Consider the following 14,354-nt stretch of genomic DNA (forward strand, 5'->3'; position numbering starts at 1 on the left):
GTCCACTCTGCTCCTTCTGGAACTAGGGACTTACACTGGCAACGCAGGGGCTCTTCAAGACTGCTACTGCACTGGGATGGACCTGGGGCAAGGGCAGGTAAAATGCCACAAAGCTTTCCTCTCTTTGCACTTTCTTGACCAGTGTTCACTTGGTTGCTGAACACCTCTGACTGTTTTCCAGAGTTCTGGCAAATTGAGTTGACAGTTTTTGCTTGTTTTCTGATGTTTCTTTGGGGTAAGAAGAGTTCAGAGCTGCGTATTTTGCTCACCCAAAATTTTAAATTTTGAAACCAAATTTTAGTTGGTTGCTATAGATACTAAAGATTTAACAGATTTATATACCTAGTGTACCTAGTTTTTTATTACATACCATTGGAGTACGATGTTTCACTTTGGTCTGAATAACACCATCTTTTTCAAACTGTATCATATCATTAAGTGGGTCCCATGGTCGGGTACTACATAAATGAAAAAAAAAAAAACCATTTGCTCAATGACTAAACAAAGAACTTTAAAACTTTCTATTCTATGATCCAATTTTATTAATAATTATATACATAGTTCTAATAATGAGATTTCCCCATACCTAATCTTCAGATCCTCAACTTATTTTATAGGCTAACTTCTATCATAGAGTCAAGCTTATAATGAATGCAAAACCAAGTTTAAAAATCTCACACTAATATACATGGTTTAATTAAATAAAAACTACTCCAGCAACAAATATTCTAGAAATAAAGGCAACAAACCATGCTAATACATTGTTTGAAATAAACTATTTTAAGTTACTTACTCTGCAAACTTGTAATGCCATTCTCCTGTGAGTGGATCAAGTTCAAATAATTTGCAAGACCACTCTTCATTTTTTGTTTTCCGATCCCTGGCAGCTTGTCTTTGAGCTTCTTCCAAAACATACTTCTCTTGGGTAGCTTCAGTTTGGTCTTTGGCATTTATGGCTCGAGTTACCCGTTGCCAGAGTCTAATACATGTGCGAAAATATTAAAAGTATTAAAAATGTAACAGAAAATAAAATCTATATAGAATAGGCCTCAAATCCCTTGTAGAGAAAATAATGCTCACATGAATTTCTGGCTTTGACAACACTTATGCTCATAGGCTTAGAAATGAGTCAAGATATAAATCCAGTCCCTTGAGTAGAGAGAGACCTGTTCATAAGTGGAGACTAATTTTTTTTACTTGGCAAGAGAAACTTACTACATAGACTCTTAAACTCATGATAGTAAGTGTTGAAGTGTTGCTGGCTCAAGATGATAGGATGTAATGAAGGTAAAGCTCAGGAATCTACGCTTTTAGCAAGCTTCCTAGATGCGTCTTACACTGTTTAAGATTCACTGGCTTCATAAAGATCCATTAATGTAATGCAGTGCTTCTGAAGTTTGGATCCATGAATTATCAGAGAATTTTTATAATCAGAATCTCTGGGGTCAGGCGCAAGTATTGATATATTTTTTAAATGTTTCCCCAAAATATTTTAATGTATTGCTAGTGTTGAGAACCACTGGTTTAACAGAAAAGACTACTGAGGTAAAATGATTTCCCCTACTAGTTCTTTCTTCTGTTAAATAAAAGTATATCTATATCCTACCCATCTAGAAAGGCAGCATGTTAAAACCAGAAAAGGCTTTGGGATCAGATAGACATGAGTCAAGTCCTAGAGCTGCCACTTCTTAGCTGGTGCACTTAAAGTTATTTATCCTAAGTCTCATTTCCTCATCTTCAAATATGCTGAATTATATACTCTCACAAATTATCATATGTATGCCTTGGCAAAGCTTATCTCTGGAAAAAGAACATCAAATGGTTATGGCTGAGACAGAATTTTTAGAACTGGTACATATACATTCTTCCATCTTTGACAACCTCAAATTTGAGTGTAGAAGGGAAGGTACACAGACTTGAATTCCCATGACAGAGAATGATATGTATGTGCAAACATGTAGGGAGGACAAAGTTGCATAATAAGTACTAAGTGCCTAGCAAAATATCTCTTATACATAAGTCTCTTTCTCTTAACACAAAGATATAACAACAATAAAATAGGGAATGTGTATACAATATTTCTGATTCAAAAATATAAGCCATCTAGCAAGAAGTTCATGACTTAAGAACAGAAATGATAGCCTTAGTTATTACCCAACTAATAAATCCTATAGAAGCCAGTCCATCCAGTAACTTTACTTTTGTATCAGAGAATGGAACAGAAGTAGATTCTGCACCACTCCCTTTACCTAGAGTTCTAATGCTTAAATCAGGTTAGAAAACTGTTGCCAGGTAGAAACTAAGAGTCATTAATTAGTCCTGTAATCTTATTTAAACAAAAACGTTCTTTCTTTCTTTTTTTTTAAGGTGCTGGAACAATTGAGAAAGAAAAAAATGAGTAGTTTTGAGCTACAGAAAAGCAAGACGATTTATATTATATTTGACATTCATATACACAAAAACAGAATACTGTCACTTCCACAAATGATAAACTATTTTGCTGAATTAAGATATGACAGAAGGTGACAAAATGACCATATCATTAAGGAATTGAAAAACTACTCTCTGATCCTCATGAAGTTAGCTGTAAAACAGTATACTTACTTCTCTGATTCAAAATCTCCCTGTTCTTCAAATTTTACAGTGTGCCTTATTAATCTCCATTGCTTAATGTCAGGTGTTGGATTCCAGAAAACCTCTGAATTATCAGTCTTTTTATCAGTAATAAAAACTTCACTATCCTATATTTAAAAAAATTCAAAATTAATGTAAAGAATTATACTTAGAAGGCAATTATATAGTATAGTAATATGACGGTGATAATTTCTTCTGGTTAATCCTCCAGTTAAAAGCATTTTTAAAACAAATATAACTAGCACTTTTCCAAAAACTCCAAGTTTCTTATCATTTTTATAAAAACATTAAGATTGACTACGTAATACTAGTTAATTAAAAAGAATTTGGTTGAATATCCAGTTTGTGAAATTTCATAAGTTTTACTTAATAAATTTCAAACATTACATGCAAAGCCTCAATAACCATCTCCAAACTGTCCAAGTAGAGCATAGTATTTGTTGCAGCTACAATGAGATGCTGTTGACTATCCATGGATTCAATATACTCAAACATACACACACACACATCCCTCTGAAAGAGCCTTTACTAGCATTAAAAATTTGAGGTCTATCTCTATCGAATAATCTTTCTATCTAAGACATGGACGGTCTTGCTCTCTTGTGTAGGCTGGAGTGCAGCGGTGCTATCTACCTTATCTATCTAATCTATTTTACCTATCTAATTTATCTACCTGTTTAACCATCCTTCTCCTTCTCTCTCTCTCTGTCATCTCTCACTCTCATCTCTATCTTATCTATCTGTCTGAGACAGGGTCTTGCTTTCTCACCCAGGCTGGAGGGCAGTAGCACAATCATGGCTCACTGCAGCTTCCACCTCCCAGGCTCAAGCAATCTTCCTGCCTTAGCTTCCTGAGTAGCTGGGACAGGCATGTGCCATCATGCCCATCTAATTTTTTTATTTTTATGTTTAGTAGAGAAGAGGTCTTGTTATGTCACCCAGGCTGATCTCAAACTCCTGAGCTTCCCAAAGTGCTGGAATTATAGGTGTGAGCCACCCCACCCAGACAGAAATTTCATTTTTTAAAAATGACTGCTGCTTTATCTTTTTTCCAGAAGACTCTCAGATTTAAGGCAATTAAAAAAAATTTTCAGAGTGTATGTGGCCACTTAACAAAGTCCCTAACTTCACTTTCTCATATTTCTCAACATTTTCTGCTTACTGCATGCAGAAAGGAGCATATACTCAGTGCTCATAGTATGGTATATCCATGCAGTACCATGATTCTTTTTATTCATTTAAGCGTCTCTTAACAAAATTACATAAATATGAATTTAGGTTAGCAGAGAAGTAAATAAAAGCCATTGCTCTCACACACCACTATATCCTTTCCATGTTCCACTGAAAGGAATATAACTCTAATTGGAACTATGCCTCTTTCTTCTATGTGAGTAGAGTGCTGTGCATAAAAGCACAGTCCTGGGGCCAGGGTTCCTGGGCTTTAATTCTTGTTCCACTACCTACTTTGAGCAAATTATGTGAACTCTCTGTGCCTCAGTGTCCTCTTCTGTAAAATGGGGACAATAATAAACAATAATAAAATGGGCATGGCACCTATATACTCACCTCATAGCGTTATATGTTATAAATATTAAATCAGTTAATATGAGTAACATTCTTAAATAATGCAGTAAGTCATATATAAGTGTTAGCTATTTCTACTGATTTTAAGTTTTGGAAATAAAATATTACACAAAATTAACTACTGTTGATAACAGAACACCACCAAAATATCTGCTATTAAGATGAAGCTTATGTTAAATAGTGATGTTTTCAGCAACGGAATAAGTTTTAAATTTTAAATGTGATTTTTTTTTTCCCACAGAATAAAATTCTTTTTGTAAAGCTCATATACAAAATACTTACCCAATGACCTTCCAAAGTAGCTAGGACTTCTTTTCCCAGTTTAAGTTTCCCTGATATTTGATTAACACAGTCACTACTCCCTAGGAATGGCTTTTAAACGAGAAAATGTTAAACATTTTACTTTTCACTTATATTTACATATAATGTAAAACCAAAACAAAAAACCCAACAAAAATTGCTTGTATAGTTACAGTACTATTGAATGCACAAGCAGTAAAAAAATACTGACTCAAATTTTAGTTAGAAATGTTTAATAAGAAATCTGAATTGCTGCTATGAAAAAAATAGGATAAAACAAGCAGACTATATTAAATCAAAATAAACATATTAAGAAAGATCACCCTGATATAACTGACTCATGTTCCATGTATGCTCAAATCCTGTGTCCTCCCCTGTCAAGACTGTGCCCTATCAATGTGACGTTATCTTAAGCAATAACAACTCAATAAACCTAATGGAATTAACGATCCATTGAAATAAATAACACCCCTTCCTTAAAAAACAAACAAACAAAAGTAAAATATATAGCCAAAAAAAGCCTCCAAAAAATAAAATTAGAAGGAATACACTGAGTTACTATAATGCCTTACTAACATCTCTCCTTAGAGACAAAATTTTGATGCTCCAATGTCATACTTAAAGGCATCATATATACTTAAGAACTCATTCATCATGATCTTCAAACATTATCATCACCATACAAGGAAAATTTTGCCAAGGTGAAAGAAAAATAAAATAAAAGACATTGCATCAAATAATACTTAAGAGGTCTTTTTTATCAGAGCAAAATTGCTTATCAGCTGGATATCAACATAGCAGCAATTTAGTAATAAATATTACTAGTTTACAGAAATATTTTTATCTGAATATACTATTGTTCAAGAACAATTAATTCACATTAAGTTCTCAAATTTCCCTTTCATTTTGAGGCAGACAAAAATTTCCAAAGATGGCCTTGACAATACGTACCCTCTCCCCTTCAGCCCACATACTCTTCCTCAAGGAGACCTTGCCACTCTCCCAATGAGAAGTGGGGTCTATATTTCTTCTCCTTGAATTTGGGTGGTCTTACAATTCTCCAAATAATAGAAGATGGTGGAAGTGATATAATTTGGCTTCTCAGGCTAGGTCATGGAAAGGAAATGCAGTTTCTGTCTTGCTCACTGGGGCACTTGCACTTTGAAACCCTCAACTGCCAAGTAAGAAGTCTACTTTGAGGCTGTCATGCTGTCAGGAAATCAAGTCACATGGAAAGGCCATGTATACAGGTGCTCAGATTAGCAGTTCTAGTCCTTCGGTCACCCTAGACCAGGTATCAGATATGTAAGTGATAAGCCTTCAGGTGATTACAGTCCCTAACTATTGAGTCACCCATGGCCTACAAAGTCTTTCTGAGACCCCAGACATTATGAAGCAGAGATAAGCTATCCCCAGTATACCCTGTCCAAATTTTTGACTCACAGAACTCATGAGGAACAGCACATAGTTATTAAGTCTGTGAGTTTTAGAGTAACTTATTACACAGAAATAGTGACTAATACAACTGTGCCTTGGTTTACACAGCTAGACTGCAAGATGACACATATCTTCTGGTATTTGGTAAAAACAATCCTTTAATTTACTAAGAAATTTCTATCCAATCACTTCTTAAATCTCATCTTCTATATAATACCCACAGTTTTATTAATTAAGATGAAAAACAAAAAATGTCTTTTGTGTTAATTTGAATTTTCCAAGGCTGCTATCTTAGGCTACCCGAAGATACTCACCCAGCCTTGCCCTTATTCCTTAGATGCACTTATCCTTGACATGACATAAATTGTGTTCTTACATTTAGTCCTTAATTAGGAAATACATGGTGCCCTTTATTCAATATTTATTGTATGGCTCTCCTTTAGCTAGGTGATACCTACTGTATTGTCTACTAACCTTTAGTTTAAATTCAAGTATTGCACTGTATCCAGTTTTTTGACATGTAATATTGACTGTTCCACCAAGCTCCAGTGTCATTGTACCATAAAGAATTCCTAAAGGAAAAAGATTTGACAAAAAATTGAAAAGAGTATAGTATAGTATATGGCTCACGATAAACAGTTTAGTAATCTAATCTTTTAGGAGAAACATAATTCAAAATCACTCTGTCCCACTCAAATGAAAAACTATAATATAGACATACAGTTGGTTCTGTAGGATATAAATAGATAACACCTGATTCACATTATGTGCAGATTCCCTATCTGTAAATTCACCTACTCAGTAAAATATCAATACCCACAGTACTTCTGTAGTCATTTGGAGACATGTGCAGAGTAGCGAAAAATTTGAGTCACCCAATGCACACATTCTGAGCTGAGGCTGAGCAAGGCAAACACTCTTGGTTCAGCTCCCACATTGTTTTAAAAAAAAAAAAAAAGTGTCCTTTTTGCAGTGTATTTAGTATCATGTTTTCACATTTTGTGCTTTTCACTGGTGGTTTTGCTGTTTAAAATGGACCCACATGTAGTGTTGCAGTGCTGTCTAGTGTTCCTAAGTGCAAGAAAGCTATACTGTATTTTACAGGGAAAATGTGTGTTAAAAGCTACGTTTAGGCTTTAGTTCTGTTGGCTGTTAGTTCAATGTTAATGAATCAATAATATGTAATTAATGTTATAATTACATCAGGTTTCTTTAAATAGAAGCATATATAAAACAAGGTTATGTACTGATTAACTGGCTGATGAAAATGTTGGCACAAGAGGCTCACAGGAATCCAATCTCATACTCCCCCAGGAGCAATGGCTCAGTATTTGCTAACTCAGTGGTGACTTTATGTAACATAACTACTGCAAATAACAAGAATCAAATGCATAAGCAAAGCAAACAAAAAACTACAAAATAAGTTCTGTGGTTAAAAGCTGGGGAAACTCTGGGTTTAACAAAGCTAAACAGGTTGTGTGTGTATCTGCTGTTGGTCTAAGATGCTAAGGCAGCCTTTAACATGCAATGTACAATATTATCTTTTGAGAGGGGAACAGACTATGCAATGTTTCTCAAATTTATTTGGCTATGGAACTCTTATTTTACAAAACAATTTGTGAGACTAGTGACTTGGGGGAACACACCTTAGAAAACATACAGGGTGAAACATCTTATAAAAATCATTTCATATGCTCATTCGCAAGTGGTTATAACTTCTTTTCTTTTTCCATGCATTGCTATAAAAAATTTTCCCTATTGTAAGCTAAGTAGCGCATGGATATCTACATGGAATATAGTTTTATTTTTTCTAAATGATAGAAAATTTAAAAATATGTGTTCTTATCAATTCATAATTAAAGATATTTCACTCCATGCTTACTTCAAGAACTATACTTGAAGCTCTAAGAATAATCTAGACTAAGGCCATAAGTTAGGCTCTTTTGTACATGCTGGGTTGGCCTTCGATAAGATTCAGCCCTCCGAGATTTCTCAACTGTGTGTTCTGGGATACATGTGCAGAACGTGAAGCTTTGTTATATAGGTATACACGTGCCATGGTGGTTTGCTGCACCTATCAACCCATCATCTACATTAGGTATTTCTCCTAATGCTATCCCTCCCCTTGCCCCCCACCTCCCAATAGGTCTCAGTGTATGATGTTCCCCTCCCTGTGCCCATGTGTTCTCATTGTTCAACTCCCACTTATGAGTGAGATCATGTGGTGTTTGGTTTTCTGTTTCTGTGTTAGTTTGCTGAGAATGATGGTTTCCAGCTTCATCCATGTCCCTGCAAAGGACATAAACTCATCCTTTTTTATGGCTGCATAGTGTTCCATGGTGTGTATGTGCCACATTTTCTTTATCCAGTTTATCACTGATGGGCATTTGGGTTGGTCCCAAGTCTTTGCTATTGTGAATAGTGCTGCAATAAACATACGTGTACATGTGTCTTTATAGCAGAATAATGTATAACCCTTTGGGTATATACCCAGTAATGTGATTGCTGGGTCAAATGGTATTTCTAGTTCTAGATCCTTGAGGGATAGCCACACCGTCTTCCACAATAGCTGAACTAATTTACACTCCCACCAACAGTGTAAAATTGTTCCTATTTCTGCACATCCTCTCCAGCATCTGTTATTTCCTGACTTTTTAATGATCACCATTCTAACTGGCATGAGATGCTATCTCATTGTGGTTTGATTTGCATTTCTCTAATGATCAGTGATAATGAGCTTTTTTTCATGTTGGTCACATAAATGTCTTCTTTTGAAAAGTGTCTGTTCGTATCCTTTGCCCACTTTTCATATTGAATAATTTATATGTTTTCATGAATCAGTTCCCAAAATAGAGGATAATTACCAAAAAAGGTATTTTTAAGATTTTAAGAAACCGGTTGGAAGGGAGGATACACATCATGACCACACTAAACTGATGCAAAATAGTTGAAAGTTCAGAGTGCAGAGGTAAACCACCTGGGTTCAGATCCTGACTTGCCACATTTTAGCTGTATGATCTCAGGCATATTAACCTCTCTGTGCTTCATTTTTCCTCTTCTAAAAAAGGGAATAATAATATTTCTATTTTATAGGAGCTGCTGAAATGATTAAATAAATGCATTGAACAGTTGGGTGCCTAGCATGTTGTAATGTTATAGATGACAATTATTATGTAATACCCTTATCTGTATTTTAAATAATGGGGCAAAAAGCATAATACATTAAGAAATTGCCAAATGAGGGTGAGAAAAATCTTTAAAAAACTTGGTACATTAAAAAATAGTAAATTAAAATTTTAAAAAAGCATGGTGGTGCAAAAAGATGAAAATCATCTTTACAGATTCTGAAATAATAGACGGTTTTGTCAAATTTGAAAATTTGCACATCAGGCAAGTGCAAAGAAATTCCATTATGATAAATCAGTCTCTTCTGACTAAAGTACACATCACAAAGAGTCCATTACAGGTGAATTAATTCACCGCAGAAATATTCAGCAAATGATAGCAATAATCTTAAATATCTGTAATCCAAGGATGCTTTCAAACAAAATGTAAGTCTGACTCCATCAATCACAAAGCATAACAAATCACAGCTACATACATTTACTTAAAAGGAAAGCTTAATATCTAATTCAAGTATAGAAAATATTTACCTTTACAATGAGCGTATGGCATTGTCATTACATAATCTTCACCTCTATTCAAGAAAGTTAACCGTGCTTCTCCCTCTAATATTGCAGATAATGAGTTTCCTGAAATAAAATGTTGTTTATTAAATTTCACAAAACTTATTCAACCAATTCAAAACAAACAAAATATATTTAGAACACCTACCAGACATCTACAGTAGAAAGTCTTAAAAATGTCTCAATCTCAATGTGCCCAAACATGTATTCATTACCTTATATCCAAAACATATTTCATCCATATTCTCATTTTTACATAATGACTACTTTTAAAAGATACAGTTATGTGCTTTTTTTTTTGAGATGGAGTCTCTGTCACTCTGTTGCCCAGGCTGGAGTGCAGTGGAGTGATCTCGACTCACTGTAATCTCCACCTCCAGGGTTCAGCAATTCTCCTGTCTCAGCCTCCTGAGTGGCTGGGATTACAGGCGTGCACCACCATACCCAGCTAATTTTTATATTTGTAGTAGAGACAGGGTTTCCCCATGTTGGCCAAGCTGATTTTAACTCCTGACCTTGGGTGATCTGCCCACCTTGGGTGATCTGCCCACCTCGGCCTCCCAAAGTGCTGGGATTACAGGCATGAGCCACTGCACCCGGCCTGTTTTATGAGAGTTACAAGAAAATGAGAAAACATGTAGAATACTTAATCTTAATAAAACACTGTTTCACTGTATAGCCTAATTTTCTTTTTTGAATAAAACCATTATTTTTTAGCTGTAAGTCACATTACTTACAAATCTCAAGCTTTAAATGCTTATAATTAATCCTATAGACAATTTAGAAAAATAAAAAATATATATAAAGCACCAAAATGCAGTCAACGATAAAATACTATGGTAATTTCTTCTAAGTTTTCTCCTGTATGCATTTTCTCTCCTTCTATTCTCAGCTTTACTGAAGTATAAATTTACATACAGTAACTAACCCATTTTAAGTGTGAAATTTGAGTTTTGGAAATTGCAGAGTCATATAACCACCACCACAATCAAGATATAGAACTTCCCATTATCCCCAAAAAGTTCCTCCTTGCCCCTGAGCAGTCAATCCTTTCCCTTAGCCCCAGGACACCAATGGTGCATTTTAAATCACTGGCTTTACCTATTCTAGAATTCTGTACAGATGGCATTATAGAATATGTAGCTTGCTGTGTTTTACTTCCTTCAATTAGCACAATGTCTTTCAGGTTCATCCACATTGTTGTATAAGAATTCTATTCCTTTTTATTGCTAGTTAGCATTCTGTAGTTGTGATTATTTCCTTACTAGTTGATGGTCCTTAAGTTGTGTTTAGTCCTGGATTGTTATGAATAATGTTGTGTATACTTAAGAACATTTACGTACAAGTCTTTATGTAGACATCTATTTTCATTTTTCATGGGCAAATACCTAGGAGTGGAATTTCTGAGTTCATGGTAAATGTATGTTTAACTATGGACAATCATTTCTCCCATGTCAAAAAACATTTGACCATGTGTACAGGTCTACATCTGAACTCTATTGCATCCCATTAATTTATACATCTACCATTACGTCAATTCCACACTGTAATGATTACCTTAGCTTTATTCTAAAATCAGGCAGTGAAAGACCTTTCTTGTTCTTTTTCAAAATTGTTTGGCTGTTTTGGGTCCTTGACTTTTCAACGTAATTTGAGAGCCAACTTGCCAATATCTTCAAAAAAGCCTGCTTAGATTATGATTAGGATTGCACTGAGTCTATGGCTCAATTAAGGGAGCTCTATTATCTTAACACTATTAAATATCTCAATATATAAACATAGTCTATCTATCCATTTATTTGGATCTTCTTTAATTTTCCTCAGCAATGTTTTAGTCTTCAGTATACACGACTTACACATCTTTTATTAAATTTATTTTTAAATACATTATTTGGATGCTATTATAATTGGAGTTGTTTTTAAATTTCATTCTGAGCCAGGCATGGTGATGTGTGCCTGTAATCCCAGCTACTCAGGAGGCTGAGGTGAGAGGATCCCTTGAGCTCAGGAGTTTGAGACCAGCAACATAGTGAGACACTGTCCCAAAAAAAAAAAAAAAAAAACCCTCTGCAAGTATTCATTTCTAGTATATAGAAATACAACTGATTTTTCTTTTTTGACCATGCATCTTGAGACCTTACTAAATTCACTTATTAGTTGTATGAGCTTTTTTTGTATATTCTTGAAGATTTTCTATGTAATCTGGTATATAAATAGCTTATCTTCTTCCTTTCAATCTGTATGCTATTTTTCCCTTTAATTTGCCTACTGCATTGGCTAGGACCTCTAATACAATTTTGTATAGAAGTAATGAGAGTAAACATCCTTGCCTTGTTCTTGATCTTAGGTAGAAATTATTCAATTTTCACCTTAAAAGTATGAAGTTGGCTATATATTTTTCATAGATGCCTTTAATCTAGTCCTAGTTCCTTGAGGACTAAGAAATAAATAGGTGTTGAATTCTGTCAAATCATTTTTCCATATCTATCGAAATCACACTTTTCTTCTCTGTTATTCTATTAATATGGTAAATTACATTGTTTATCAGATGGTAAACCAACCTTGTATTCCTGAGATAAAATCCATTTCATCATATTATTCTTTTAATATACTGATCATGATACCTTTATTTATATGTCCATATATTATTCTCCCTATCTGTTGATTTGTTACTACTTAAGAATTTTTACATGTATAAGGATATTAGATCTGTAGTTTATTTTCTTGTAATCTCTGGTTTGGGGAATCAGGATAATCCTGGCCTCATAAAATGATCTGAGGAGTGTTTTTTCTTCTTCTATTTTATGCCAAAAATTGTGTAGAACTGTTATTTCTGCCTTAAATCTTTAGAAGAACTCAAGACATCTGGGCCTGGAGTATATCCTTGAAGAAATATTTTACATTACTAAATCAATTTATCTGATATAAAGCTATTACAATTTTACACCACTTCTTGGGTCAGCTGTGGTAATTTGTGTCTCTTAAGAAATTTGTCCATTTCAAATTTCTATCTCTTTTAATTCTGTCTATTTTTGCTTCATTGAAGTTCTGTGATTAGATACACAGGCATTTATGATTATTATGTTATCCTGACGTACTGAACCTTTTTATTTCATTATGAAATGTTCTTTATCTCTATTAACACTTTTTGTTTTGAAATCTATTTTATTAATATACTCACTTAACCCTACTTGTACTTAATACTTGCATAGTTTAGCTTTTAACTTTTACTTTCCATTTACTTTCTTTTTTTTTTTTTCCTTTCTTGAGACAGAGTCTTGCTCTTGTTGCCCAGGCTGGAGTGCAGTGGCATGATCTCAGCTCATTGCAACCTCTGCCTCCCGGGTTCAAGTGATTCTCCTGCCTTAGCACTCCAAGTAGCTGGGATTACAGGTGTACACCACCATGCCCAGCTAATTTTTGTATTTTTAGTAGAGACAGGGTTTCACCATTTTGGCCTGGCTAGTATTGAACTCCTGACCTCAGGTGATCCACCCACCTTGGTCTCCCAAAGTGCTGGGATTACATGCCTGAGCCACCATGCGCGGCCTACTTTCCATTTACTTTCAGCCTATTTGTGTGTCTACATTTAAGGTATGTTGGTCCTTGCTGTTTTAGCTAATCTGATAATCACTGTCTTTAAATGAGATTATTTGGGCCATTAAGACTGATACAATCATATTATTGGGTTTTAGTCTATCATTTTGCTATGTGTTTTCTATCTGTCCCCTCTGATTTTTGTTCCTTGATTGGGCTTTCCTGTTTCTTTTATACATTATTTAAATTATTGTTTAAATTTTTTAAAGAATTTCATTTTAATTTTCTTACTGATTTTTTACCTATACTTTTTGGTGGCGATTTTTCTTTGTGTGTGTGTGTGTTTGCTCTAGTGTAGGGCTTCTCAATGGTAGCACTACTGACATTTAGGGGACTGGATAATTATTTGTTGTAAGGGGTTGTTCTGTGCATTGCAGGATGTTTAGCAGCATTCCTGGCATCTACCTACTGGATCTCCCAACTGTGAGAACCCAAAATGTCTTCAGACATTGCCAAATGTCTCCTGAGGAGAACCACTGCTTTAGGGATTACAATATTAATCTTTAAAATGTCACAGTCGGCTGGGTGCAGTGGCTCACGCCTGTAACCCCAGCACTTTGGGAGGCTGAGGCGGGTGGATCACTTGAGGTCAGGAGTTCGAGACCAGCCTGACCAACATGGTGAAACCCCATCTCTACTAAAAATACAAAAATCAGCTGGGTGTGGTGGTGGGTGCCTGTAATCCCAGGTACTTGGGAGGCTGAGGCAGGAGAATAGCTTGAACCCGGGAGGCAGAGGTTGCAGTGAGCCGAGATTGTGCCATTGCACTCACAGTTAATCTTTGACCACTTTATATAGAATAGAAAATTTTGCTATCTCTAGGTCCATTCTCTTCCAGGGCTGTGTACTGTAGTTACATGTGTTAAATCTGCATATGTTATAAAACTCACAAGATAATGCTGACATTTCTGTTTTGAATGGTTACATGTATTAAAAGGAAAAAATAAGAAAAAATGTCTTTTGAATTTACCCATATGTTTACCAATTCTGACGATCTTAAATTCATTCTGGATTTAATAGATTCTTTCAAATTATAAAGGAACAGATAGCTCTGATGTATATAAATTGTACTATAACACAGAAAAAAGGCCCACTGATGAAGTAATCCCAGAAAGT

At 34.9% G+C, this 14,354-nt stretch overlaps 1 protein-coding gene across 20 annotated transcripts in view; it reads right to left on the minus strand.

Moving 5' to 3' along the window:
- The window catches only part of OSBPL8 (oxysterol binding protein like 8), a 207,975-nt gene that overhangs the window by 17,047 nt on the left and 176,574 nt on the right, over positions 1-14,354 (minus strand). For all 20 annotated transcript variants that reach the window (NM_001003712.2, NM_001319653.2, NM_020841.5 and 17 more), the window contains 6 exons: positions 9,609-9,707; positions 6,430-6,527; positions 4,501-4,590; positions 2,605-2,741; positions 794-979; positions 371-458 (listed from right to left, as the gene is read on the minus strand). In NM_001003712.2, the coding sequence (NP_001003712.1) occupies positions 371-458; positions 794-979; positions 2,605-2,741; positions 4,501-4,590; positions 6,430-6,527; positions 9,609-9,707 (698 nt within the window). The remainder of the gene's footprint in view (positions 1-370; positions 459-793; positions 980-2,604; positions 2,742-4,500; positions 4,591-6,429; positions 6,528-9,608; positions 9,708-14,354) is intronic.

This window comes from Homo sapiens, chromosome 12 (genome assembly GCF_000001405.40).
Source record: "Homo sapiens chromosome 12, GRCh38.p14 Primary Assembly".
Taxonomy (NCBI): domain Eukaryota; kingdom Metazoa; phylum Chordata; class Mammalia; order Primates; family Hominidae; genus Homo; species Homo sapiens.